The sequence below is a fragment of the Homo sapiens genome, chromosome 17 (genome assembly GCF_000001405.40).
Source record: "Homo sapiens chromosome 17, GRCh38.p14 Primary Assembly".
NCBI lineage: Eukaryota > Metazoa > Chordata > Mammalia > Primates > Hominidae > Homo > Homo sapiens.
The window spans coordinates 57,270,854-57,297,583 of NC_000017.11; the positions used below are offsets into that span (position 1 = coordinate 57,270,854).

The 26,730-nt window shown below is 46.6% G+C and overlaps 1 protein-coding gene across 10 annotated transcripts in view, besides 2 other annotated features; it reads left to right on the plus strand.

Annotated features, from left to right (window-relative positions):
• Window positions 1-26,730, plus strand: part of MSI2 (musashi RNA binding protein 2) — a 445,731-nt gene that overhangs the window by 15,003 nt on the left and 403,998 nt on the right. The gene's annotated exons all lie outside the window — the stretch shown is intronic.
• Window positions 13,985-14,254: an enhancer, noted in NCBI's record as "active region_12428". NCBI's record gives its function as "activates an Ori minimal core promoter by ATAC-STARR-seq in GM12878 lymphoblastoid cells {active_cell/tissue: GM12878}" and the evidence as "EXISTENCE:reporter gene assay evidence [ECO:0000049][PMID:35858748]".
• Window positions 17,781-17,956: a silencer, noted in NCBI's record as "fragment chr17:55365995-55366170 (GRCh37/hg19 assembly coordinates)". NCBI's record gives its function as "represses an EF-1alpha promoter that drives an FKBP-Casp9 reporter gene in an ReSE screen in phorbol 12-myristate 13-acetate-treated (for megakaryocytic differentiation) K562 erythroleukemia cells {active_cell/tissue: K562(+PMA)}" and the evidence as "EXISTENCE:reporter gene assay evidence [ECO:0000049][PMID:32094911]".

Below are 26,730 nucleotides of genomic sequence, written 5' to 3' on the forward strand. Positions count from 1 at the left end.
AGGGTGAGGGATAGAACAGCACATTGAGATTGGAAAATTCTGTGTCAGTGGCTTGGCCTGCTCATGAGGTCCTGGCTCTCGAGGCGAGATAGCATGCAGCCTTTATCTTGGGGATGCTTGATGGGCATTAGGAATTCATTTCCTTTTCCGTATCTGATGCCTGTGTTTTTGCTGCCTCTGAGAGTAAAGTCCCGGGGAGCAGCTAGGGAACAGCTGAGACACTGCTGTGTGAGAGGTCTCCCCATGAGTCTTCTCTCTCCCTGTACTGGTCTTTATCTGCCCGGGGGTAGCTCTACCAATGACTGATCTGAAAGCATCACATTCATTTATTTGTCACTGGCTGTGACAGGCAAGTTAATGCTAATGGATTCTTTTTTTAGCCTGTTGTCTGGGATGAGTTTCTCTCAAACGTCCTGAAATCTAAGGCATTAGGAGAATGTGTAACTTTTATGGCAGGGGAGGATTTATAAAATAAATAGGGTTTTGTGTGCAAGGACCTTAAATTTAGGTTAGGGGTATGAGCAGCCAAGGAGCGGGGGTGTCGGGCAAGCACAGAGTCTTCTTTTTAAGAAATCCATTCAAGAGCTCTAAATTGCTGTTTCTGTTTCAATTATGTGACAATTTCAAGGGTTTAGAAAAATCTAATAAAATGGTCTTGATGATGCATTCTGGGGAGAGAGTGCTTCAGAAGATCTAGGAGAATAAATTCCTTGGGGGTCAAGAGATTCTCGTTCCTGCCACCTTGGGCCTTCCTTCATCTGGGTTTTTACATTTTTATTGTTTTGAAGGGCAGAAAATGGTGTAGGAATGTATTCAGGGCTTCATCCATACCCTCCACCGAAATGAATTATTCTCTTTTGGCAATTGCAAAATAGACGGGCCACTGCAATCTTTTTTTTTTTTTTTTTTTTTTTAAGCTGACATATTGTAAACGACTTTCAGACCATGATTTGTGTGTGTAGTGATGTTGAATAAAGCACCAAAGAAAAGAAACTGAAGGAGGGGAAAGAGTGAGGAGGGAGGCGCTATAAAAGTTTTTTTCTTTTCTGCCATCAAAGCTTTTGATAGTTTCCTAAAGCACAGAAGTTTACAATGGAAGCGGGCTTTTGGGCCGCCTAGGGGAACAGAGTGCAGAAAGACCTAGTGTAGCAAAATGTGATGCTGAGTGACATTAATGAGGTGACCGCTCTGGTGGGAGGGAGGCAAGGAACCAGCCAAGTAGCAGTTCCCATGACTTGCTCTCAGCTGAGTGTTTCCTTCTGCATGCTTGCATGGGCGCCTGTGTGTGTTTGTGCATGCACACGTTGTGTTTCCTAAGTCTTCAGATGGAATTTTTAACAACAAACCCTGTTTGGTTTACTGTGGTGTTCTCCACCCTAAAGAGGCCGTGAATGTTGAGTTTTGTCCTTTATTCCCACCTGCTGAAAAGTAAAGTTTTCAACTTAGCGGCATTTTGTTTTTACTTTCTGGATACCTGCCGGAGCCTGGCTGGGCGGCGTGTCAGGCCAACATCACAGAGCTGGGCACTGTTGGAACACCAAACCAAGAGTGTGAAAAGTCAATATTCTCATTTCTGAAATGAATTCCAGGGAGAGGGGAAAAGAAAACCTGTTGGTGTACAGATCCCGCCCCTCCAAAGGCCCTAGATCGATAACACTTCATATTGGTGGCATAATTAAACATGGCAACAACTGCTTCTTAAATATTTCAGTGTCTTGGAAAGTAATCCGTATTTCCATGTTGCTCTTGTGCAAGAATTTCCACTCACTCAAGAACAAGAAAAGCTGCAACCTTGGGGGTAGAAGAAGGTGAGAAACCTAGGTCTTGCTGATTTCCTGGATAGGAGCTCGAGAGTACCTGGCTCAGTTGCGAACTAGTTTCAGAAAGGAAGCTCGTATTTTCATCCCATTCCTCGCCATGGCATTAGAGTGACCATTCTAAACAGTACTGGGCGAGTGTTCTGAAAAACTGCTGCGACATCTTAAGAAAAATAGCCAGATAGGGCCTGGTGTATAGTGGAGTGGGTGGAAACACAGTGTGTATTTACTGATACACTCTATTTTTTAAATCCCTTTCAACTCAGTTCCCTCTGGGATATCTCTCAAATGTGTCCTTTTTGTAGCTAGAGGCAAACAAGCAAAAAATGTTTCAACTTTCAGATATACTACTTAATAAAAACTAACTAGTGGATTCATCATGTCTTCTACCTGGGGAAAAAGGATCAAATTAGGATGCTTGCACCTAGGAGAGAATTGGGTTGTGAATCTCCACGAGATTGCTACATGTATATGTTTCCTCTTCTGTTTTCCAAAGAAGATAATTGGTTTTAGTAAGAACTTCTGACTTGATTAGGGGGCCCTTAGGAAATTAGAGTGTGTTTGAATTTCACAAGTATAATTTTAATTATACAAATTTTGCATTTTTTCACTAGGGAGCCAGGTTCAGAACTTGTTTTCCTGTACTAATAGGGGTAGTAAAGCTGATTATGGCAGAATGCTTTACTTAAATTGCTTTGAAAATAAAAATCCTTGGATTTGATCATTGTTTTTCCCTGCAGTACACGATGTTCAGGTTAATGTCCATACACGTCCCATATTCTTGTTAAAAATGATTTTTTTTTTTTTTTTTCTTTTACTGGATTCACACAACTGCAGAACAGACTGACATAGTGGGGATGTGGGTGGGGGGGGGGACCTCATTATGAATTTTTCTGCTGCACTTGCTGAAAGAATTCAATTAAAGTTCTTTTGAGCACAAGTCCTGCCTGGGCAGTTTGCGTTTGGCAGGCCATCGCCTTAGCATGTTGTGATTGCCTTTATTGCCACGTCATCCTGTTTGCTCAAAGCCTGTGCATTCACAGCATTAGCCCTCCAAGCGGCCCCTCTGCAGCATGACCCCAGTGGATTAGAGTAGAAGGTGCCGTGGAAACAGTCACCTGGGTCTTTCCCCAAGCTATAAAGAGACGGTGGAGTGAGGATGATCAGACCCCCTGGGCATCCCAAGAGAAGGACTGATTGTGTTCATGGGAAATAACTGTTTTTTTCAGGGCTATCCAGACAAAACCCCCAAGTGTCAGAGCGGGGGAACTGCTCTGAGAGTTTGAACTCAAGCATCCTCAAACATCTACCCCAGTGTGGGGCTCTAAAAAGCTTCCTAGAGACCTGCTCCTGGGGCCTTCTGGGCCTTGTCTCAGATATTGACAGGAGAGATTCAATAGAAGAATTCGTTCACAATAGAGAAATCATGAAACCAGCTTGTGAATGACGTGATGCCACATAGGCCGGGGCCTGAGAATATGGGAAAACAAAACTGCAAATAGAGGCTGGATCCTACTCACCCCCCATCACCCTGCATTTTACACATTGAAGTAAAATGTTATTTTTACTGTCGTTATTTTTATTACTTTCTCTCCAGGTGTTCTAGCTGAGCGTTTAAGAGCATGGACTCTGGAACCAGACTTTGAATCCTTGCTCTGCCACTGCAGCTGTGTGACCTTGAGCAAGCTATCTAAATATTCTGTGCCTTTGTTTTGTCATCTGTACAATGGAGATGATGATGGTATCACCTTCATGGGGTTGTCATAAGGATTATGGGACTTAACATAATAAAGTGTTTAGAATGGTGTCTGCAACATAAGGAAGTGTATGGGTGTGTGAGTTGTGGGGTTGTTAGAAAGGAGCACGTCCTGTGGCAGGTTTGGGTAAGTGCTCCGTGCCTGCCTTACGTAGTAGTTGGAGAACGCTAAGTACTGCTGTCTTCTGCCTTACGTATTTTTCCTTAAGTAATGTTTGAGAAATACAAAAGAAGACACACACACGTGGTTGTGCGTTTATGCATATAAATGTATGTGACACGGGTAGAATTGCAGTGTAATTTGGATTCAGACAAATTCATGTGCCATAACGAAGTGTGTGGTTTGTTGGCAGCACGGGCTTTGGACTCAGAGGGACCTAGTTTGAAACTTGATAACTGCCACTAACTCTGTGACTTTAGGAAGGTGTTCCAGCCTTTCTGGGTTTCAATTCTGTACTTAAAAAAAGGGGAATAGTAGGGTTGTGGGGATTAAATGAGCCAGTATAAATAAGGCACCAGGTGTATGATGAATACTGAGAAAATGTGAATTCTTTTCTCCATAAACAACAAAAGAAAAATTTTAAAGCCATCTCGAACATGGGAAAGATACAAAGTGTTCTGTTCTTGCTGGTGATGAGAGTATCTGAAGTTAGTTGATAAGTCCTTAGAGGTCTGAGTAGAGAAAAGCAGGCCATAAAAGAGGGTGTTGTCATCCTTAATCCACATGCCAAAGGGCTGTTTTAGCAACTTCATTTCACAAAAGCCACATTTTCAAGGGCAGGGAAATCATTTCAGTTAGGAACCTTAGATGGTGTCCCCAGCCTTTGAAGATGCCTTTGTTCCTTTGACACTTGGTAGGAACTGGGAGCACAGGGCTGGATGGTCCAAGAGGAGAGAGTAACTTCAGAGACATGAAAGAGCCCCAGCTAGGAGGGAGCGAGGGAGAACCTTGGGATTGAGGGCAAGGGTTACTTTTTCATAGAAACTTTTGCTTGGGGATATGGAATAGTAGGTTTTGATCTACAAACCCATGAGCCCTGTCCTGTGAGTGGGAAGAAGATTGGTAGAGCTCAGGAAATGAACACAGTTCCCAGCCATTGGCCTGGGAGATGCTGACGCTCAGACCTATTGTCGGGGCTGGGAAAGCCCCCAGACCCCTTGGGGCATCCCCTGTATGTGGGTCCCTTTCACTTCATGTCCACTGGGTGGAATTTACCAGGTATTGCTGGGAACGGGGAACAAGATCATGATTATAAGTGGATCCTGGACAGGGGATGGAGTGCGTGTGAATGTTAGTGTGTAGAGGACGGAAAGGGAAGGAGAGAAGGGGTGGCCAGGAGGAGGGAAATAGCAGTAGATTACATTGACTAATTATAGGGAAAAAGCCATATTTGCTGCTCCATTAAGTGATCACTAGGCTATGAAGCAGTTTATTGTAATTAATGCAGAAACAGCAAGTAAGTGTTTGAGTTTGGAGTGGAGGGTCTTCAGGACCCCCTCCCTCCTTCAGTTCTCTGTGCTCACTGTCTCCCTCCCCTCCCTCAAATTCATTATCCTTGGAGAGAAAGAGTCTTGGGGGAGCATCTCTTTGGGAAGGGCTGTTTAGCACAGTCTTGGACCAGTTTTCTACTGGTTTATTTTGACAAAGAAGGAAGATCTTTTACCTGACCTCCTTCAGAAGATTCTGTAGGGGTTTTTATGTTTTCTAAGGCTGAAGGAGGAGGGACAAACCCATGTCATCATTGCTATTCTTGCCACAATCATTTTAATTTCAGCACATGAAAGTGGCAGGTTACACATCCAAGTCCATCGAGTTATGGGCCGTGTGGAGTTGTGATTGCTTTCCTTGATGATTTCTTGTTCAAATCAGCAGTGCTCTTAATTTTCCAGATGAAGTAAAAAGAAAATTGGAGACTCCCCTCCCGCCTGGCGTCTCTTCATCCAAGGTTTTCTGAGCATGACTCTGATTTGGAGGGTTAATATTAATTAGGAGCCAGTTTAGACCTCAGTTGCTTGATGAGGTAGCTTCAACTGTTGTCACGAATGTGGCTCCTTTTTGCTTGTGCCTGCTTTTGGTGAAAGTTTCTGGGTTTAAAAGCCAAAGGAAGAAATATGCAGAGAAAGATAGAGGAGGGGACAATTACTAAAGAAGTGCAAAGCATTCTCTTAGAACTTGAGGGAGGAACAAGACCAGAGTGCCTGGGTGGGTGTGGGTTCTGAGCTACTGTGTTTCCCGGCGTGCTGCCGCTGCTGTTTGCCTCAGTTTCCTTTTTTGTAAGTAAAGGTCATCTCTCTAGCTTCCTAAAAGGGCCATGACTCATTTCCTTGGTTTCCAAATTGGGTGACGCTAGAATTTCTCTGAGGCAAGTCCCTGGTGAGTGCCAGGTAACGGAGGCGCCTCATTTTTGTGCCGAGGCTCAAGGTTTCCTGGCTCCCAAGTTTTCCCAGGGCTGACTCGGTCTCCTGGGGAACGGTGGCAGAAAGGATGAGACCAGAGACAGTGAGTGAGCCCCACTGCATAGTCAGGGGAAAGGAGACCTGGAGAGGAAGGGACCTGTTCTCCTTGGGTTGTATCATGTTAGGGACCTTTCTTCTACGGACTGGGGGTTTGGGTTGGTTTTCTTTTCTTTTTTTTTTTTTTTTTTTTGAGACAAAATTCTGCTGTCTCGCCCAGGCTGGAGTGCAGTAGCAGGATCTGGGCTCACTGCAGCCTCCGCCTCCTGGGTTCAAGTGATTCTCTTGCCTCAGTCTCCCAAGTAGCTGGGTTTACAGGTACCCGCCACCACACCCAGCTAATTTTTTTGTATTTTTAATAGAGGCGGAGTTACGCCACGTTGGCCAGGCTGGTCTCGAACTCCTGACCTCAAGTGATCTGCCTGCCTCAGCCTCCCAAAGTGCTGGGATTATAGGCATGAGCCACCGCACCCGGGCTGGTTTTCTTTTTGACAGGGTGGTTTGGGTCGTGAGGGAGTATGGCAGACCATGGGTGTGAAAGTTCCAGTCCTAGCAGGAGAGACTTGACTTCTGTCTCTTGGTCTCTTAGCCCAATGCTGATGTGCTGAACATGACCTCAGGCACTTTGCCTTGCAGCTCCATGTTTCGATTTCCCCATCTGTAGACGGGAAGAATGAAGGCATGTGGTGGGAAGCAGTGCTGATTAGGGCTTAAGAGAAGAGGCTTAGGAGGCAGACAGTCTTAGGGTTTCTTTCTGGCATAATAGTTTCCTAGCTGCTTGACCTTGGGGAGTTCACTTAACTTTGTTAGTCCTCAATTTCCTGATATGTAAAATGGGATAATACCATATGAGCATCTACCTGACAGGATTGTTGTAATGTTTACAGGAGACAGTGTTCGTAAAGTACACCGCCTGGGAGGTGGCTAGCACATTATTCCTGGGGGCTACTTTTACTATTAACAGCTCCATAGTGATTTGACCAAAGGTTTCTGAGAGTTGAGCCAAGATGCGGACTAGATGGGACCACATTGAGAAAACATTTGAGGCTGGATGCAGTGGCTCACGCCTACACTCTAGGAGGTAGAGGTGGGAGGACTGATTGAGGCCAGGAGTTGGAGACCAGCCTGGGCAACACAGTGAGAACCCTCTCTACAAAAAATACAAAAATTAGCCAAGTGAGGTGGTATATGCCTGTAGTCCCAGCTACTCAGGAGGTTGAAGTGGGAGGATCTCTCGAGCCAAGGAGGTTGAGGCTGCAGTGAGCTATGATCACACCACTGTACTCCAGCCTGGGCAACAGAGCAAGACCCTGTCTCTCAAAAAGAGAGAAAAAGAAAGAAAACATTTGAGCTCCATAGATTGACATTCTGATTTGAACAGTTTCCCATAGAGGGAGAATTGCGGCGAAAGAGGCAAGGCCTGCCCACAATGCATGGTCTGGGACTTAGCTGATGAAGTGCTCTGCACCACCCAGCTTCGAGGAGATGGGGACTGGGGTTTCCCCTTGCTTGACATCTTAACTACTTCACTGCAGGAAAGGGGAGGAGGGACAAGAGGAGGACCAATCCCCAAGGGACACGGAGACCCACATTAGGTTTTGGAACCCACGCCTGGTACTATCTGAATTTAAAAGCCTTGCTTGACTCAGGCGGGGCTGATCAAAGGCCATTTGCTGTTTTAGAGTGTTCCTATGTGTGCTTGGCAGACAGAGTTGTCTTTTTATTGCTTCCATTCCCACTAAGACCTCCATCCCCCCACTGCCCCCCCAACCCCTTGGTGAGCTTGGTGAGATGTGTTTTTTTTTCTTTTTTTAATTTTAAGTTCCAGGATACATGTGCAGGATGTGCAGGTTTGTTACAAGGTAAATATGTGCCATGGTGGTTTGCTGCACCTATCAACCCATCACCTAGGTATTAAGCCCTGCATGCATTAGCTGTTTATCATGATGCTGTCCCTCCTGATGAGATGGTTTTAAGTTGGCACCAGCACCTGTTTCTCATGCCTTGCGTATGCAGCAGGAACTGTGAACTAGGGACAGGTTCATGCCCTTTGGCCACTGCAGACGTGGAGCTGTGGACGCCAGTACTTGTGTGGAGAGTCGGTGTCTGTTGGCTGTATCTCAGCTTTCTTTTCAGGGCAGACCTGATACAGGTGTTCTAGGTGGGAAAAGCCTTAGCACTTGTTGTGAACTATTATATTGTTACTCTCTGGAAGGGAAGGTGGAAAGGGGAATCTATGCCAGTGAGCACAACACAGGCCGCATATGGACACACATGAGGTCGCTCGGCATGCTCTTAGGCCCAGAGGAGACAGAATCAGATACTAGCCTATCCTCTGGCTGCTCCCAGGCTAGCAGGGAGGTAGGTGTCTAAACCAGGATGTGAGCTAGAGGGGACTATAGCCGTGCACAGGAGGGGCACAGAGGACGGAGCAAGCAGGGCAGGCTTCACGGAGGAGGGCTTGTGAGCTGAATCTTGAGAGAGAGGAGATCCTCCAAGTTGAGGGAACTGTGGGAGCAGTTAGACAGCTTGGATTTTGGGGGGTGTAGCACATTGCTCCTTATGGGCTGGGGTGTAATGTGCAGAGGAGGGCAGAGGGAAGATTGATTTGCTCATTATGCAACAAATGTCTGGAGCTCCAGTCCTGAACCAGGCCCAAAGCTGGGGAATAGCAACTCAGTCCCTGCCCTTGTGGAGTCTGTGGCTGGCAGGGGCATGTTCATTAAACAACTTATTGCATGATTCACTACTTTTCTTTTTCTTTCTTTTTTCTTTTTTTTGTGAGACAAGATCTTGCTCTGTCTCCCAGGCTGGAGTGCAGTGGCACAATCAAAGCTCACTGCAGCCTTGAATTCCTGGGCTCAAGCGGTTCTCCTGCGTCAGCCTCCCAAGTAGCTAGGACCGCAGGCACACATCACTGTGCCTGGCTAGTTTTTTAAATTTTTTGTAGAGGTGGGTATCTCACTTTGTTGCCCAGGCTGGTTGAACTCCCGTGAGCTCAAGTGATCCTCTTGCCTTGGCCTCCCAAAGTATTGGGACTACAGGCGTGAGCCACAGTGCCTGGCCTGATTCATGATTGAAGTACCATTACCATAAATGCTATACATCCATGCATTGGATGTTAAAGGGATCATAACAAAAAAAAAAAAACAGTGTCCTTTGGGTTTTGGGAAGGCTTCCTGGAGAAATAACGTTGAGGCTGAGCTTGATGTAGGGAGGGAAGTAGCAGGGTGCATTTCATGTGCTGAGGGAAGAGAGGGTGGCTGGAATGCAGAGAGTGAGGAGGACAGGGGGACAGGCGAGGTCACACTTGCGTTGGCGGGGATAAAAATTCTTATCTTAGGAGGGTTGGGGAAGCCATCCATTTAAAAGTTTAAGGGATGGGATGGGAAATGATCAGGTTTGCGTTTTGAAAATATCTCTCTGACAGTCTACACGAAAAGTGGCTTGTGGGTACCCCAGGGGGCTGTGGGGGAATCAGTGAGTAAGTTGTTGTGGTGATCCACTTGAGGAAGGATGGCTGCTTAGCTGAGTTCTTGGAGGTAGTGATGGAGACCAGTGGATGGATTTGAGATGCATCTGAGAATTGGAGCAGCAGCTTGGTGGTTTGGTTAGTTGAGGAGTAGCAAGTGTTAAAGGTGAGAGGCAAATTTGACTTCTCATTGATGTGAGCAGAGCCCCCAACCCCCACCTCCGTGAGATTGAGAGTGTTGGCCCATGCAGGGGACAGGCAGGGCAGGTGTGCCTGGCTCAGGGGGTTGAGTGTAACCCCTTGGCTGGCAATCGGCATACTCTTAGTGACGGACCCCTATTGGTAAACTTGTTTTTGAGCTTGCACTGTATACATATTTATTTATAAATGACATACATATACTTCTGTACTAAAATAGCATGCTCCTAATAAGGCAAATCATTAAAAATAAAATAGGATGAGAAAAAAAGCTAAGCACACATAAACATTTTAATCTTTTTCTTCTAAACCCTACTTCGGAGACCACTGCTTTTGGCCATGGGGAGCACTTAATGAGTTTTAGGGTGGGGGTGGCCAGGTCAGATGGGTGTTGGGGAAAGAGCACTCTGCAATCCAGGGGCTCTCCCGTGAGTTCTGCCCAGGCCAGGGGCCCAAGGAGGAGGTGCTCTTGCAGTCTTGTCGTGTGTGGCCTGGTGAGTCAGGGACATGAAATTGTGGCATAATTGCTATCCCCCGAGAAGTGATGTTGGCAATATCATACCAGGTGTGTGAGGGCTTATTGGTGTTTGATGTTTGCTAGTCTGTGTGTGCTCAACCTATGGGAATATGGCAAGGCCCACTCCCCTGTGGTCCAGCAGGTTCCTGTCTAGAGGGCTGAAGGCCATAGTTAGCCAGGGAGAGCCTGATCTTCTAAAGAGAGCATCACGTGAGGGATATAGTGTCAGTTCTCAGCACCTCTACTACCTGCAACGCCATCACCAGCCAATTCTGAGCTCATGTGGGCCACTCTTCCCCGTCTCTCTGGTGGATTGATAATCATACTTCCCTACTGAACTCCAAAGACTGAAAATGATGCAAAGTGAATTGTTTCTATCTTTGCAATCCAAACGTTCCTCTTCGTTTACTCTCCAGATCCCTTCCAGCAAATTGGTATTGCCACTCTCCCTCCATCCCTGGGTTCTCGGGGCTAATTCTGTTCCAGCTCGCTCTGTTTAGCTCTTTCTTCGAGCAGAACCCAAGCTAGGATCTTGCCTTCCAGAGAATGCTTTAAAAAGCCTTGTTTCCCAATATACTGCGTTTCAGTTTTCCACGAGTGCAGCCATGCTCGGGAGAGGCGTACGAGCTGCTTTTACATGTGAGAGGTGAACAAATCAAAGGTGAGCCCGTTCTGCCTCAGTGAGGCCTTTTGTGTAAAAAGGGCCTTCTGGAGTAAAGCAATCAGGTTGACTGACAACTGCCGAGGCTACCAGTGACAGTCCTGCTCCGTGGGATAACTTGGAGAAAAATCAGGGCCAAAAGCAGACAAAAGGATGTCCAGAAACTGGAGGTGGGGAAGCCTGAGTGAGATCAAACAACCTGAAAATGTGTCTTCCATCCATTTAGGGCTTTATGTGCAGCGAGGTTGGAGTGGCTGGCTGAGGATGTCAACATTTTAAATTTGTCACTGCTTTGACTTCCCTAGCTTTATCTCCCTTCAGATCAAAGCGGGGAGACTAGGAGTTGTCACTACTGGATTTGGTTTCAGACTATGTTGGTGTACCCTTGCTTTATGACCTTGGGGTTTCCTGTCTTTGCTTGGGGTGACGGGTTCATTTCAAACAAGTGAGATGTGTGTTGTGGTCTTTTATTCAGAGTGGGGAGCTCTTAGAAGCACCCACAGAGGCTTTGAAAGGACTGGGAAGCAGCTTGGAGGGCCAGTTGCGTATTTTCCAAGGATTCCTGAATATCAGGAATCCAGAAGTTTCTATTTGTTAGCCTTGCTGCTCCTCCAAGGAGCCATCCTGAAGGCAGTTTAGTCCTGCACTGGGAGACAAGGCACAGGCCTGAAGAATTCCTGCCCCCTGCTGTATAATAAATCTGATACTAAAATTAGTGCTGGCCTCCTGAGCCATATTTCTTGCTGAGATGATAAAGAAGTGTGTGTGTGGCAGGCTCATCTTTCAGGATTGGAGGATGTTGCTTTATGTCAGATAAGTGCCCAGGTCTCGAGATCATTTTTTTATGGCAGCCTCTCCCCCATTTCCCTGCTTCCTCTCCCTGTTCTGTTTTGTTAGGGGTAGGAGTAGGTAGGGGTGGATAGGGGAGAAATATTTTAGCTTGTCTTCTGGTTTTGTGTAAGTCTCTGTCACCGTAGGTAGATGTTCCTTGAGAATCTTTCTGAAGGTTTTATAATTGAGTCTTTTACCTCCGTGACAAGATATTATTCACTTTCTCTAAAGCGTTTACTTTATGCTTGGGCTGGGGTTGGGGGGTGGGGGGCAGACTTTTTTTTTTTTTCAGGGAACTCTGTCTCTAGAAGAGACTTGCCGTCAGGGCAGTTGAATGGCCAGCTTACGACTTTAATAATTGAGGCGGCATCTGGGCCCCTTGCTGAACGGCAGTCCTTCTGGCAGGGCGATTTTGCTTTTAAAATAACCATGTTCACCTTTAACTGCAAACGGCTGTGACGAGAGTTGTATTTAATTTTAAATTGCCCATGTCCAGTAACCCTCTGTACCTCTTTAAATAATAAAATGTTTTTAATCTTCCTGCAGCTGTGTTCTCTGTGTGGGGGCTTGCCATTTTTGGAAGAGGAGGGGGCTTCTGTGCCTCCTCTCCACTCCCTTTCTTTTCCCTTTCAAACTCACCGGGACTTCTAGAAAATGCCATTTCACTAAGGGCGGAATCTGGCCCGTAAAGTCTCTGGAGTGAGTGCTGGGAAGTTTATAAGCAGAGGCCGCACAGGGTCAGTCAGTAATGTCAGCCCCTGGGGCTGAAGTGCTTCCTTTGTGGGCAGAACCCCAGAAGTCCCTTTGTATCGCTGACCCATTAAAGACTTTTTCTCCCCATTCCCCGCCTCCAACTTCAGGGGGGCTTGATTTGTCTGTTATAATCGGAAACAGATTTTGGGCTCCTGATCCATTATAGATGTGTTTGAGATGGATGCCAAACCTGAAGCCACTTAAAGAGCATGTGAAAATGTGTTTAGATATAAAGGAAAGAAAGGAAGAGAGAGGATGAGGAAAGAAACAGCCTCTTCCAAATCCCCCAACTAGAAACAATACTGAAATGATAACACACAACAAAAAACAAACAAACAAAAAAACTCGATTTAGGCCCTAGGAAAGCATGGGAGGAGAAAATTAGGCTCCAGAGTCAGCCAAGTTGGTGCTTAGTCTGGGATGAACAGCCCAGTGAAGGAGGTTAAAGGAGGCAGAAGACCACACGCGCACGCGCACTCCCGGAAGCGTGGTTCAGGTGGGGCCTGCCGGGTCCAGGGGAATGTGTGTCCCAGGCTTGGAGCAGAGGGTGGCAGGTGCGTGGGGACGCATGGGAAGCACTCACGTTGTGCCCAGCAGGTCCATGTTTCTATCCCGGAGACCCTTGGGTTAGGAAATATTGATTGCTCTGTATTTGTAAACAATCTTTAAGGGGATCTAGTGCCAACACAAATAGTCAACTTCAGGCGAATCAAGTGGCCTCCTCTCAACAGGGAAGCCCATTGCTCTGATTTTCTGGATCGACACAGCCCCAGATTTATTTTCCTTTTTAATTCTCAAAAGGGGCCCGCTGAGTTGAGCATTGCCCAAGTATTGGTTTCTTTTCATCCCTGTTGAATTTTTTCCCTTCTTTAATGAAAGAGTTGGATTGGCTGTGCTGGGCCCTCCACCCGGTCATGGTAGTCCTGGTGACGCCTGGCTGCAGGGTTTCGAAGGTGGCCCTCATTTCAGCTGTCCTTGAGGCTCACTCCTGTGTTCCCCCTGCCCCTGCCATCCACCCCGCACCCGCCACCCCGAAACGTTTGTAGTACAGCTGCTGGCCTAGAACTCGAACTGATGTGTCTCTCACTCCAAACAAAAAATAAATCTGTGTGCTTTATGTATGTGTTTTAGAGGTGTGCCTGTGTGTTTTTTCTCTTGACAAGCTCATTCCCTACAGCTGTGCAGTCACAGCCCACTTTGAAATCTGCAGCATATATATATTTTTAAGTGAATAAGTACGAAGAGATGGGAAGATGTGGTTTGACTGTAATCCCACGTAAAACACTCTGACCCCAATTTTTAAAAAAGTATTTCATTAAAATGTTGTAGGAGACTATTACTGAGAAGAAGAAAGTTTCTAAGTTGATGGGACTCTTGTGTCTCCTAGTGTAGAGTTGATTTTGTTTTTTGGGGTCACCATGGAGATGAGAAGCATGGGGCTTCATGGCGTCATCTGCCCCCATTGGGGGAGGGCTTGTTGGCACAGGTCACCTCTGGATCAACCTCAGCCTCATCTGCTGGGGATGGGAGAAGCTCAAGTTGGCCAGGGGTTTACCCTATGCCCTCCTCAACCAGAATTAAAATGACCTTTTTTTTTTTTTTGCCTTCGAAGACAACATTGGTAACAATTTATTGAAACTATGGAGCTTAGCAGTGATCAGTTTTTGGATTTTCTCTTTCTTCAACCCCTCCCCTTTCTGGAAGACTTGTAGGAGGATAGGGGAGGTTTTTCTGTGCATAGATTGGCGTCGGTTTCTTAGAAGTTTCTTCTTTTCACCTTAAAAAAAATTGTTTGCATCCTTCCCCTTAGATAAGGAACCGTCAACATCCTTGTTAGAGCCCAGTGCGGAGGGGACCCTGAGGCACATACTGTTTTCAAGGTTAGATAGCAACAAACTTTCAGAGTAGCCGGAGTTTCAGGGGAGGGAGGGTTCTTTGGGTTCAAGGTTACCCATTTTTCCCCTGCTAGGAAGAAAGCCTTTTTGTTTTCTTTTGCCGACTTCTTCCAATAGCTTAGAGCAAATAGATTAGCAACCCAGCAGAAACCAAACCAAGGAACAAATAAAGGGGAAGTTTGCAGAGGGCCCTTGGCTGGGGGCTGGCTGCTGCTGAGGAGGCCAACTTGCGGTTTTCCATTTTCACGGTGAACCGCATTGTCTCAGCGTTCGCTGGTATTCACAAAATCAGAAAGAAAGGAAGGTGGTGGTGGGAGGGCGCACTTTTCAGGAGAGGCTGGGGTGTGGGGAAAGTATGCCCAGCTGCATGTTATTAGCAGCCTTCAAATAAAGTTTGTGGAAGGTTCCGGCCCCCACAGTCATGCCTGGGAAGCTTCTGTGTTCTTAGTAGGTGTTTTGAATTCTGTGGGATGGAACTGAATGTTTAAAAACAGTTACAGGAACGTCTCCCCAAGTAGGTATTCCTGAGAATTTCTGTGTACATGGAACTCTATTTTCTTAGCAAGCATCATTATATTTTTAGAAATGTTTTCTTTTCTCCTTGCCCGTCAGTTAGCCAAGCCTCCTACCACTCACTTTCTGTTGTGTAGTTCTGATTTTCCGAACAGGTGTTTAGATGATGAGGGGTTATATTAAGAAAGTACTAAAGAATACGTCTTATCACGTGAATCAGTATCTTTTTATTCAACATGGATGGAGTGGGAGTGGAGACCAATCTGTTTTATATTCCTGCAATCTGATGAGGGTAAGAAAAAGTTCATGCTGTTCATATTAGCTAGCCAGCCTCTTTCTGTCTTTCCCTCCCTTCCTTCTTTCTTCTTTATTTTTTCTTTCTTTCTTTTGTCTAATACCTAATTCCTTATCTCATTTTTGGGATTTTGAGAGAATAATTTTCATGTGGGGCGACAGAACTAGTGGTTGTAGTTTCACTTGTTTTTTTGACATTAAGGAAACAACAAATAGTCTTTTTTTTTTTTTCCTCAGACTGAGCACACATTTTAAGTGTTTTAGGGGGAAGCTCTGAAGGCAGTTTGTGGTGATTTTTAAAAAAATGTTTTTAAAGCTTTAGTCTCTCCTGGAAGCTTTGTGTGTCCCTGCATTTTCCTCGACGGTCGCTAATAAGAACTGCTGGTCTAAATCAGTGTCTCTGAGAGTCATTGATTCACTAATTGCTCATCATCGAGTCCTGGCTTCCCCCTCCTGCTGAGAGCACTTTTGTTTTCTGCTATTCTGCAAGGACTTGGACAGATTTCTGGAGTGTTTAAGAGGTAACCAATAAAAGAGTTTGGCGTGCCCCTGTTGGTAATTGTGCTTCTCGGAGGTGACCACGTCATTGGTATCCGGGCTCCATAAACAAGGGGCTGCCTTACCAGTGACCTTTCCCGCCTAAAACCGAAGGCCCCAAGGTCGCTTGTCTGATGGAGAATGTATTTCCCGGCTCACTGTGAGCCTCGACTTAATTTGTTCCTTTCCTAAGGCAAAATGACCTTCCAGTAAACCCACACCCCCTCCCCCGCTTATTATTATTTATTTATTTTTCTGGTGAACAAACAGAATTAGGAAAGGTGTGTTCTTCCAGGAGAGAGCGGGCAGTGTGGGAGGAGATGGCAGTCTGGCTCATTAAAATGCCGAGGTAGGTTTAAGCTGATTGCCAAGTGCGGGTCCTGCAGGTCAGAGTGTGATGCCCAGAAACAAAGCAAGGCCTAGGGAGAGGCTGGCCTGGAGGCAACTGGCTCGCGCCGCAGAGAGTTTTGAAGCCACATTTCTTCATTGGAAATTTAAAAAGAAAGAAAAAAAGCAGCCCCTTTTGCTCCATATTTATCATCTCTATAGTACCCTACAAATAAGTGGTCTCAAAAAGTTGTTTTTTTTTTTTTTTAATTTGCTGAACCTTTATAATAGGACCCTTTCTGAGGGCCCCGTGAGCCCAAGAATGCCTCCTTGCAATGTGAGTGTGGGAAATTAGTGCAGGCCCAAGGAAAGGAAGTGTGAAACTGCTTCCCTCAGTGAACACCCAGCCTGGCGAGGCTGTCCTGTGTGTCTTGGAAGCCCTGCTGGGCCTGAGTTTGGGTGCCATATAATTTGCTGGCCTAGCACCCCTTCCATGGGTCCCTCTCGGCCAGCCTCAAGGAAGGGGTCCTGTGGGGGACAGAATAGTGTGTGTGAGGGGCTGTCTGCGGGTGGAGGACTGCCGGGGCTTACCATCCTAACTTGTTGCTCAGTCGCGGAGTCTTGCATGTTGACTCTCCTGGGCTTGGTTGGCCGCTGCTGCTTTCCTGTGGTTGTTGGTTTGTGTTAGGTGTTTGGTCCTCTGGTTTGCTTTGGGTACTGGGACTTTAGCCCAGGGAAGAGGCCTGTGGTGCTTCTCTGCCTTTCGGCTCCTACGTGGGGCATTGGAAAGCCCTTTCCCTGCCTGGTTGAAACCTTCGCAAACTGCACACCTGGCCGGCCTGGCAGTCAAATGGATTCCATGGCAGCCCCTGCCTAGAGCGGAGCAGGATGTCTGTTTCGGCCGGTTATGAATGAAATCAGAGTCCTGTGCTGGCAATGCCATTGTGCGTAAGGAGTGCAAGGAATGCACTGGGCCATCTTCCCAGAGAGACCCTATAGACGAAACAGATGTGGTCAGATGAGCCCCTGGAGACAGCAGTAGTGGGGAGTGTGGGAGAGCAGGCCAGGGCGGCACCAGGAGGAGCAGGAGGAGCTCCAGGAGGATTCTGAGCCTCCTCCTCCTCCTTTATTCCTCCATCCCTCTGTCTGGGGTGGGATGTTTGGGAGAAGAGAGGCAATGTGGTATGGTAGATAGGCCTGTTCTTTGGAGACAGTTCTGGGATTGAATCCTGGCTATGTGACCTGGCCAAGTGACATAACCTCTCTGAGCCTGATGTGTGTCATCTGTAAAATGGGGATAATAAGACTTGTGTGGCAGCTCTGGGAACAGACAGAACTTTCTGTAGAGCACGTAGCACAATTCCTGGCATCTGTTAGGTGCTTAGTCAGTGTTGATTATGCAGCCAGCCTGGACCCAGCTGTTGTCGCTGGGACAGGGAGGAGGTCGTGCAGTTACCGAACCCTACACCATTGATTTTACTGCTTTGGACCGAGAGGCCCGAGTGTGCTGTTTAGCCTTCCAGGCCCTGAAAGGTTAGTTGTACCCTTCTGACTTTCTCTACAGAATCTTCCCCCTAACCTTCCTGGTGTTTGCTAAACTGAGAGTTAGCCTCACAGAGTCCCAGCTTCTCCTGGGTCATCATCCTTTTCTCTGGCCTCTGCCTGAGAGCAGCGTGCACCGGAGACTGAGGGAGGTTGGCTGTAATCAGCACAGACCCTTGGCTCTCAGCTGAGGGTGGATCCCAGTGTCTAGATGATAGATGGTGCAGTTTGGTTTCTAATTCCTGCTTGATTTAGAGAGGTGCTGGGAGTGAGTGGTGTTACAGGGAACGGAGGCTGTGGGAAGGCTGGGAGTGTGAGCGTTTGATTACCTTCTGTGCTCTAGGCCAGGGGTCCACAACTTTGGCACTGTTGACATTTTGAGCCAGATTATTCTTTGTTGCAAGGGTGGAGGTTGGGGAAGTGGGGGTGCATTGGAGTGCATTGTATCTGTAGTAGGATGTTTAGCGGCATCCCCGGCCTCTACCCACTAGATGCCAGTAGCAATCCCTCCCTGGTTGTGACAGCTAGCAATTGCCACGTGTCTCCTGGGGGACACAGTCACCCTTAGATGAGAGTCATTGGTCTAGCACTATAGGTCACTTCTCTATAAGAAGGGGAAATATTTGTATGTTTTCTGAGGTTCTGTTCTGCATGGATTGGAACCTGGACAATGAAATATTCATGAAATTCAAGAGCAGGAAAGTGCCTGGAGAGATCACCTGGTCCAGGCCCCAGCCTCCCGCAGGTGGCTAGCCACATGCCCTGGGTTTGATTTCCACGGCTCCTGCTGGTCTTCCCTTTTGGTTAAGTGAAAGGGCAGGGAGAGGGGACGTTTCCACCCAGGCCAGCATCTCTATAGAGCTTTTTGGAGTGGGAACTTCTTTTAGCAGAATGACTCTGCACTCCTGGGCTCTTGGCAGTCCTGTGTTTGGGCCTCTAGGAGTTTGGTTGCAAGCTCCACGAGTTTGATTTGCTCTCTCATCCCTGGCACACACAAATTTGTCACTCAGAGGGACTGGCTTTTCTGCATGCACTGAATGGATTTTTATTTGAAATGAATTCATTAAAAAAAAAAAGTTTTGCTTGCCAGGACTCTGCCGTCCTCTCTTCCCTTTTATTTCTCTCTGTCGTCTGTAAGACGAGCCTGGAAGGAGCTGTCTGGTGGGATTGGTTGGCCAGGGATTTTTCTAGGCCCTGATTAAAGGTAAATTATCAGATGAAAGTTGGAGGTTGCTGCTGTGCTTGTAAAAAAGTCACTTGTGTGCCATAAAATCCATCACAGCTCCCTTGGTGAGAAGGAGGAGGCCGTGAAACACTCAGTGATGCTACTTCGGCTTCCAGTGATTTGGCTTCCCTCTGCTGCAGGAGTGCTGCCCGGCAGCCCGGTGCACCCTGCTCTTGTGAGAAGCTCGCTGAATCACGTTGGTGGGAAGCTCAGAGACAGAACTGTGTGTTGCCGGCAAGTTGCCATGAAGTAGTTTTAGATGTTGGACTTAGGAGAACCAGATGGCTTTATGGAGTAGAAGCGGAGCCCATGATGTCTTGGTGACTTTTGCCTCTCTTTTGCTTAGAACCAAAGAAGGTGGTTGTCCAGTTGGAGAGGGTGTGGGGAGTCTGGCCTTGGAGAGGCAGTATAGCCCATGGTTGACAGCATGGATGCAGGGACCAGACTGCCCAGCCAGTTATAGAGGTGGGACTGTGGGCTAGTTATTTAATCTCTCTGTGCTTCAGTTTTCTCATCTATAACATGGGGATGAGAGTAATAGTACCTACTCTGGGGTCATCTTGAGGAATTTGTGCAAGAAAAGGGCTGAGCCTATAGCCTGGCCAGGGGTAAGGAAGTCATCCTTAATTATATTATCATTGGTTACACTATTCTTTTTAATTTATTTTAGTTTTTCTTTTTAGAGACAGAGTCTCCCTCTGTTACCTAGGCTGGAGTGCAGTGGTGTGATCATAACTCACTGTACCCTCCAACTGTTGGACTCAAGCAGTCCTCCCACCTCAGCCTCCCAAGTATTGGCACTACAGGCACATGCCACCATGCCCATTTAATTTTTAAAAATTTTTTGTAGAGATGGGGTCTTGTTATGTTGCCCAGGTGGGGGTCTCTAACTCCTAGCCCCGAGTGATCCTCCTGCCTTGGCCTCTCCAAATGTTGGGATTACAAGTGTGAACTACTGTCCCTGGCCTGGTTATATTATTCTATAATAGATGGTTAGCCTGGCTCCTGAGGCTTTAGGAAAGTGCTTCTCAGACTTTACTATGCAGAAAAATCAGGTGAACCCATTCCTGGGCATGCTGAAATCGGTGTCTCAGTCTTGGGGCCCAGGACTCAGTGTTTAATATCTCAGGTGGTGATATTGCAGGGAGCCCGCATATAACCTGGTGGCTCCTTCAATGGCAGTGTTGGTCAGATTCTTAAAGAATGAAGGGCCCCCGTGTCATCACAAGGAGAAGTGTCTTCCACCTTGGATTATCTGGGAAACAGTTCTGCCCACGCTGGGGGGCCTGATTTGGGCCCTGCGTCAGTGTCCTGGGTGTAAACCTCTGCGAGATGCCCCTGGGTGTCAGGTCCTGGCTGCACCCCATCGTTAGGACTGGGGGCAGCAGCAGATGAGGGAAGACTTGTCTCCTCTGGCCCATGGAGTGTCCCTGTTTTTCAGCTCAGCCAGCATCCCATACTCAATTCTGCCGGCGAGAGCTGTGGGCCTGTTTTGCAGGTTGTGTCGTTTCAGCGGGTAACTGGTATGTGTGTGCATGCGTGCAAAAGAAAACATCAAAATGTTTGGGGAGTGTTTTAGGAAAATAGCAAGGAGCAGATTGCCAAGATTCGCTTATATGTTTCTTTTTCTTTCCTTTTCGCTGTGTACATGTGTGATCAGCATCCCGGAGTGTTCTGAAATACAGCTTTGGCTTTCTTACCCCAACTATTCTTCCGTATAGCAGAGAGGATACAATTCACCACCAATAATACCGAGCAATAAATAACCCAGAGAAGATGAATAGCCTTGTGTGGTGGTAAATTAAAGTTGATTTATTGCACATAATATATACAGGTGCTCCTAATGTAATTAAGCAGCGAGGCTTTTAATGTTGCAGAATCTGAAAGAAGACCCAAGAAAATTGGGTCTTAATAAGGCTTATTGAAATAACAGCTAAACATGCTGCTTAGTACCATTAGGGGATGCTGAAAGATGGATCGACTCTGCTGCTTTTTCTTATGTGTGGAGATGACACACCTGACCTGTTGTCAGCAGGTCCCGCACTTGAATTGTTTTCTCTACGGTAGGACTGGATTGTTTTGAGCTGTCAATATACCCTGGCCTTGTCCTGCTTGTGGCCAGAAGTTTAAGTGGCTGCCTATTGAATAGGTTTTTTTTGAGTGAAGGACGGGGGAGCTGGAACTGAAGACCCCACTGTCTACAGCCATACCACCCTGAATGTGCCCGATCTCATCTGAAGACCCCAGCCTCATTCTCCCCCGCCATTCTAACTAACCAGGCCAGGCAGGAGAGGATTTGTTCATGGAGTGAACTCACTGATTGAGCCTTTACCATGGGCAGAGTGCTGTGCTGGAGATTGGGAGTCAGGGATGGAAACAAAAGCTAGACAGTCCCCCTCCTCAGGAGGGCTAGTGGGCGAGACCTGCGTGAAAATGCAGGATCGTAGAGGAGGGGACGCATTCACCGAGAAGGTCCAGTGGATTGGGGGCTAGGGAGACCCTCGGACAGCTGCCTGGGGGAAGGGGCTAGAGAATGGGAGGGGAGGCTGGACTGGTGATTTAGGGGCAAGAGCAGGAAAAGTTCTGCATTCCGCTCAAGAGATAGAGACTTTGCCTGAAGGCAGTCTGGAATCCTGGCGGCTTAGGAGCCAGGGCATCATCACATTGATATTTTAGAGAGAAAATTCTTGGCAGTGTTATAAGTCATGGACTGGGGGAGACCAGGGAGCTAAGAGAACAGGGCCTGGACCAGAGCAGGGGGCAGAGTGAGTATGAAAGGAGGAGGGGTGAGAGGCAAACTCTCCCATGTGCCTTAGACCTGGTGACTCCAGTGGGGTTGGGGTGGCAGGGTACCTGGAGGAAGGGTGGATTTGTGAGCAGCCAGTACTTCCATCAGAACCCCTCGGGGGTGCTTGTTAGAAATGGAGGTTGGTGGGGGGTCCCTCACCTGTGGATCTCCAGTTGCTAAGGTGCCTGGACATCTGTGACTGAAACCAGGTCCCCAAAGGATGCTGAGGCCTGGAAACCTTGGTCTCACCTGGAGATGTGGCTCCACGATGCCCTTGGGAGCGAGCGAGTCATTTCACAAAGTGTTAGGAGGGAAAGGAGCCTTTCTGGGGCCAGCACGGTTGGAAGAGTTCACAGCCTTTCTGTGAGTTGCTTTAGGGGCCTAAGACTTTGGTTGCTGAAGGAAGTATAAATGTACAGTGACCCTCCAAGAGCCTCCCTCTCACAGGTATGCCCCACTTTAAGAAAACCCGCTAGACGAAAACCCTGACTTTTGGAGTAAGATTTGTCAAGGAGAGAGAGTTCTTCCCAGTACCAAAGGTTTCAGAAAAAGACCCGTTTAAGTAGTAAGCTGACCTTCTGAACCAATAAATAAGACAGTGGTTTCTTTCTTTTGTAGAGGTCACCTGTTGTAAATCTGAGAACATTTGAAGAATTTACTGCATTGGCTCATTAAGGTTAAAAAAAAAAAAAGTCAGTCGACTTGGTCAGCATTACCCAGTGCCCATGGTTTTCAGAGCCACCCCTGGGTGAACTGAGAATGGTGTTTGCTCCAGAGCCTGGGGCCACAGGGGAGGCTGGGGAGAGACTCAGGGCCCTACTGTTGGAATGGCCTTCACATGACTTGTCCTGCTTCCGGCTTGGAGTATGAAACCACCAAGAGGTATGTACAGCTCGCATTCCAGCATGGGAGGCGGGGAGGCTCCTGGACCCACGGGGCTGTCAGGTTGAGGCCTGCTCTGAACGCCTGAGCACTGCGATCCTGATGTGGAGAGCTTCCTTCCACCTCCGCCTCCTCCTCACGCTGCAACAGCGCTTGGCTGTACCTTGCCATTACTTGATTATTTGCAGAATTAGAAAAGGCTCAAGTATCTGATCATAATTTTTTCCTGGATATATAGCACATCCTCTGAATATGTAATCAGTGCTTTATTGTTTTTTTGTTTTTTTTTTTGTTTTTTTTTGTTTTTTTTGAGATGGAGTTTTGCTCTTGTTGCCCAGGCTGGAGTGCAATGGCGCAATCTCGGCTCACTGCAACCTCCGCCTCCTGGGTTCAAGCGATTCTCCTGCCTCAGCTTCCCGAGTAGCTGGGGTTACAGGCATGCGCCACCACACCCGGCTAATTTTGTATTTTTAGTAGAGATGGGGTTTCTCCATGTTGGTCAGGCTGGTCTCGAACTCCTGACCTCAGGTGATCTGCCCGCCTCAGCCTCCCAAAATGCTGGAATTACAGGCATGAGCCACTGTGCCCAGCCTGTTTTTTTTTTTTTTTAAAGGAATATGGGCTGTTAGATGTTGTAAATGGATAGGCAATGCATGTTCACTTTTTCTGAGGCTTGTTCAGGGAAACTGAAAAAAGTTCCTCTGTCACCTTGTGTGCATCTCTGTGGTACTGTCTCTCCAGGGTAGTGTGGGATTTAGAGGAGAGGGGCTGGAGGGGACCCTGCAGATGTCCCTATGTTCTGGAGGCGGACTTGTTTATTTTTGACAGAATGAATCTTGGACATGGGAGGATCTGGCTCTGACCAGCCACAAATTGGATATTTGTTTGACCTTTTTATTCCAGTGAGTGGGAAGAGATCCGGTACCTCCTTTATCATAAATCTTGCCTTGTTGTTTGCTCCAGTATAGCACTTCATCTGGGTGCTGTTTGAGCATCTGGCTTTCATTTTTAAGTGCCGGCAGGTGCAGGGGCAGGCATATCTCAGGGGGCCGTGGCAGATGAACGAGATGTGGCAAAAGCTGGCGTGGCACTGTTGGGGGTGAGTTTCACGGGAGAAAAAGGAGTTGAGCTTATTCTTGGGCAACTCTTTGCCTTCCTGCTAATGTTTCCAAGTATACCATGCAAGAATCAACTCCAAGGGGCTAGCTGAAGCTGGGGAAGGTGAAGAAGTGAGTCTGAGTTGTCTAGAACTTGATTGGTAACATCTCAGGGTACTGCCAGCTGCTGGACCAATGTGGTTCTCCTCCTTCCCTGCCTCTCACCCCTTCAAGATGAGTTGTCTTGTCTCTGACCCATCCTACAACAGCCACAAGTCAGTCGATCCTGTGTTTGTGCTCCCGAAGGACTTGGCGACTTGGCTAACAAGGAGACATTTGTTATTTCATTTCCTCATCCATTATTCATGCAGTGAGAGGTAATTAGCATTTAGTAATGTGGTTTCTGGGGTAGGTGAGTTGGGTTCATTCATTGAGCAAACATTTCTTGATCCCCTGCTCTGGGTTGGGTGCAGGCCAGGGGGCTAGGGTTACAGAGATGAGGGAAGGGCCTAGTTTGCCTTTGAGTGTGTGTCTGTTTGGGGAGGCAGGTGATCAGCGGGCGAAGGATGCTAAAGGTGTTTCAGGACCACCGAGCAGAGAGTCGTTTCTGGGGAGAGCCAGGGAAGGCTTCATAGAGGAAGTGGCATTTGGCTTGGGCCTTGAAGAGTGAACAGGAAAGAATTGGGATGGGGGGAATGTGCCCACCCTCCAGTGCAAACTGGGTCCTGGGGTTTAGCTTCTGATGATGGATGGTCATGGTCATGTGTCTTTCTGTGCAGCGCTGCCCACTTCTTTCCCCAAGCCTCTGTCACTCAGGAGAATTAATACGCCTCCTGCCCAGCATCTGGTGGCCCTGCCGCCCTGCTTGCTTAGGGAGATGGCTGACAGTTGGCAAGGAGGGGAGCTAGAAGGGTGCTGGTGAGTCATCAGGCTCCCCATGGCTAAAAAGAGAGCATACTTCAAAGCCCAGAGCATATCAAAGATGGGTTGTGTCACACCCACTGAGCATTTTACACAAATAAGAACTCAGTTTCTGACTCTGCAGCAAAAAGTTGGTCAGTTTTTGGGGGATTATTATTATTATTATTTTTTATACAGGTGCGGTAGGTTGAGAAATATTATTCATGGAAATAGGCTAAGTTGAAATAGGCTCTATCTGTTAAGGAATAGACTTATTAAGGTGGTGGGTGTGCCCTGTGTCTCTCTTCTTTAAACTCCGTTTTTCTTTGTTCTAGCCAATGTTTTATTGCTGATATGAATCACTGAGGGGCTTGGAGGGAGAAAGGAAAGGGTTTCTGTATAAACAGCTGTCTTGCTGATTCAATCTACAAAGTGGATTTTATAGCTAAAGTATTTGTTCTTGCTTTAAAATGCCAAAACAGCACCGTCATTTCCTCAGCGAAAAGAAGGGTCTTTGAGAATATGGGGCTTTCTGCTCCCGTCACAAATCTTTGCTTGGGGGAGAGGAGGAAGGAATTCCATAGAACTTTTCTTTGAACTGGTCTTTCTAAAAGAATCTCATGCTCAGAGGAGAAGAATTTTCTTTACAAAGTTTGAGTTACCAGTTCACGCAGCCTTCCTTTTTTTTTTTTTTTTTTTTTTTTTTTTTTTTTTGCCTTACTACATGTTCTGGTTTAAAAAACAATAATAATCCTCTCTGGTCATCACAGCTGACTACCTGCTTAATGTTTGCATATAGATATTTCATTTTCTTTTTTTATGCAAGATTTCATCGTTGCATTATCTGAGATAGTTGGTTGCCCTGAGATTATTAATAAATTGAGACAGTTAATGGTGTGTGACTCAGAACATACATTTAAAAACAAGTTGGAATAGAAATAGGTCTTTTACAAAATTAATTTTTTGTTAGGCTCCTCTCTTGAGCCTTTTTGTTTGAAGCCGGCTGGCTTTGTAGTGTTCATATATGGCCGACTGCAATTAACATAAATTACTTTTAAATACCAGTTAGTTGCTGTGGAGAGAGGCCAGGGTGGTGGCTGCTTATGGAAGGTTAAGAGGCTTGGTCATTGTCTGGGTTTTTATCTCACTGTGGATCAAATTCTGTTCCCTTTGGAGGCCAGAAGATCGTGTCAAAGATTGCTTTCTTTGACGATAGGGAGAAGGATTAAGTCTTTGCCCAGAGTACCAGTACTTACCAAGGAAGAATAAATAATCATAAAATGTTTACATATTTAAAAACAAATAATATTAAAATGCAACATGTATCCTGGATTGGATCCTTGAACAGAAAAAAGACATCAGTAAAAAAATTGATGAAATCCAAATAAAACATGTAGTTTAGTTAATAGTATTGAATATTGAATCAGTGTTAATTTCTTAGTTTGATCAATGCATCGTGGTTATGTAAGAGATGAACATTAGGAAAAGCTGAATGAGGGGTATGGGGAACTCTAAGCTATTTTTGCATTTCTTCTGTCATTCAAAAATTATTTTGAAATATTAAGGCTTTTTTGTTTTTTGAGATGGAGTCTCACTCTGTCGCCCAGGCTGGAGTGCAGTGGCGCGATCTCTGCTCACTGCAAGCTCTGCCTCCTGGGTTTACGCCATTCTCCTGCCTCAGCCTCCTGGGTAGCTGGGACTACAGGCCCGCGCCACCACACCTGGCTAATTTTTGTATTTTTAGTAGAGATGGGGTTTCACCATCTTGGCCAGGCTGGTCTTGAACTCCTGACCTTGTGATCCACCCGCCTTGGCCTCCCAAAGTGCTAGGATTACAGGTGTGAGCCACCACCATGCTGGGCCCAGTTTTTTTTTGTTTTTTTTTTTTTTAAGTATATTTGTAATATTGCTTTTGGCTTGGTTGAGATTATACAGGCACACCTTGGAGATATTGCAGATTCAGTTCCAGACCATTGCAATAAAGTGAATATTGCAGTAAAGCTAGTCAGATGATTTTTTGTGTGTCTTAGTGCATATAAATGTTATGTTTACACTATACTGTAGTCAATATTAAGTGTGCAATACATTATGCCTAAAAAACAATGTGCATGCCTCAATTAAAAAATACATTTGATAAAAAAAAATTGACAAAAATCTGAGCCTTTAGCAAGTCATAGTCTTTTTGCTGGTGGAGGGTCTTGCCTCAATGTTGATGGCTGCTGACTGATCAGGGTGGTGGTTGCAGAAGGTTGGGGTGGTTGTGGCAATTTC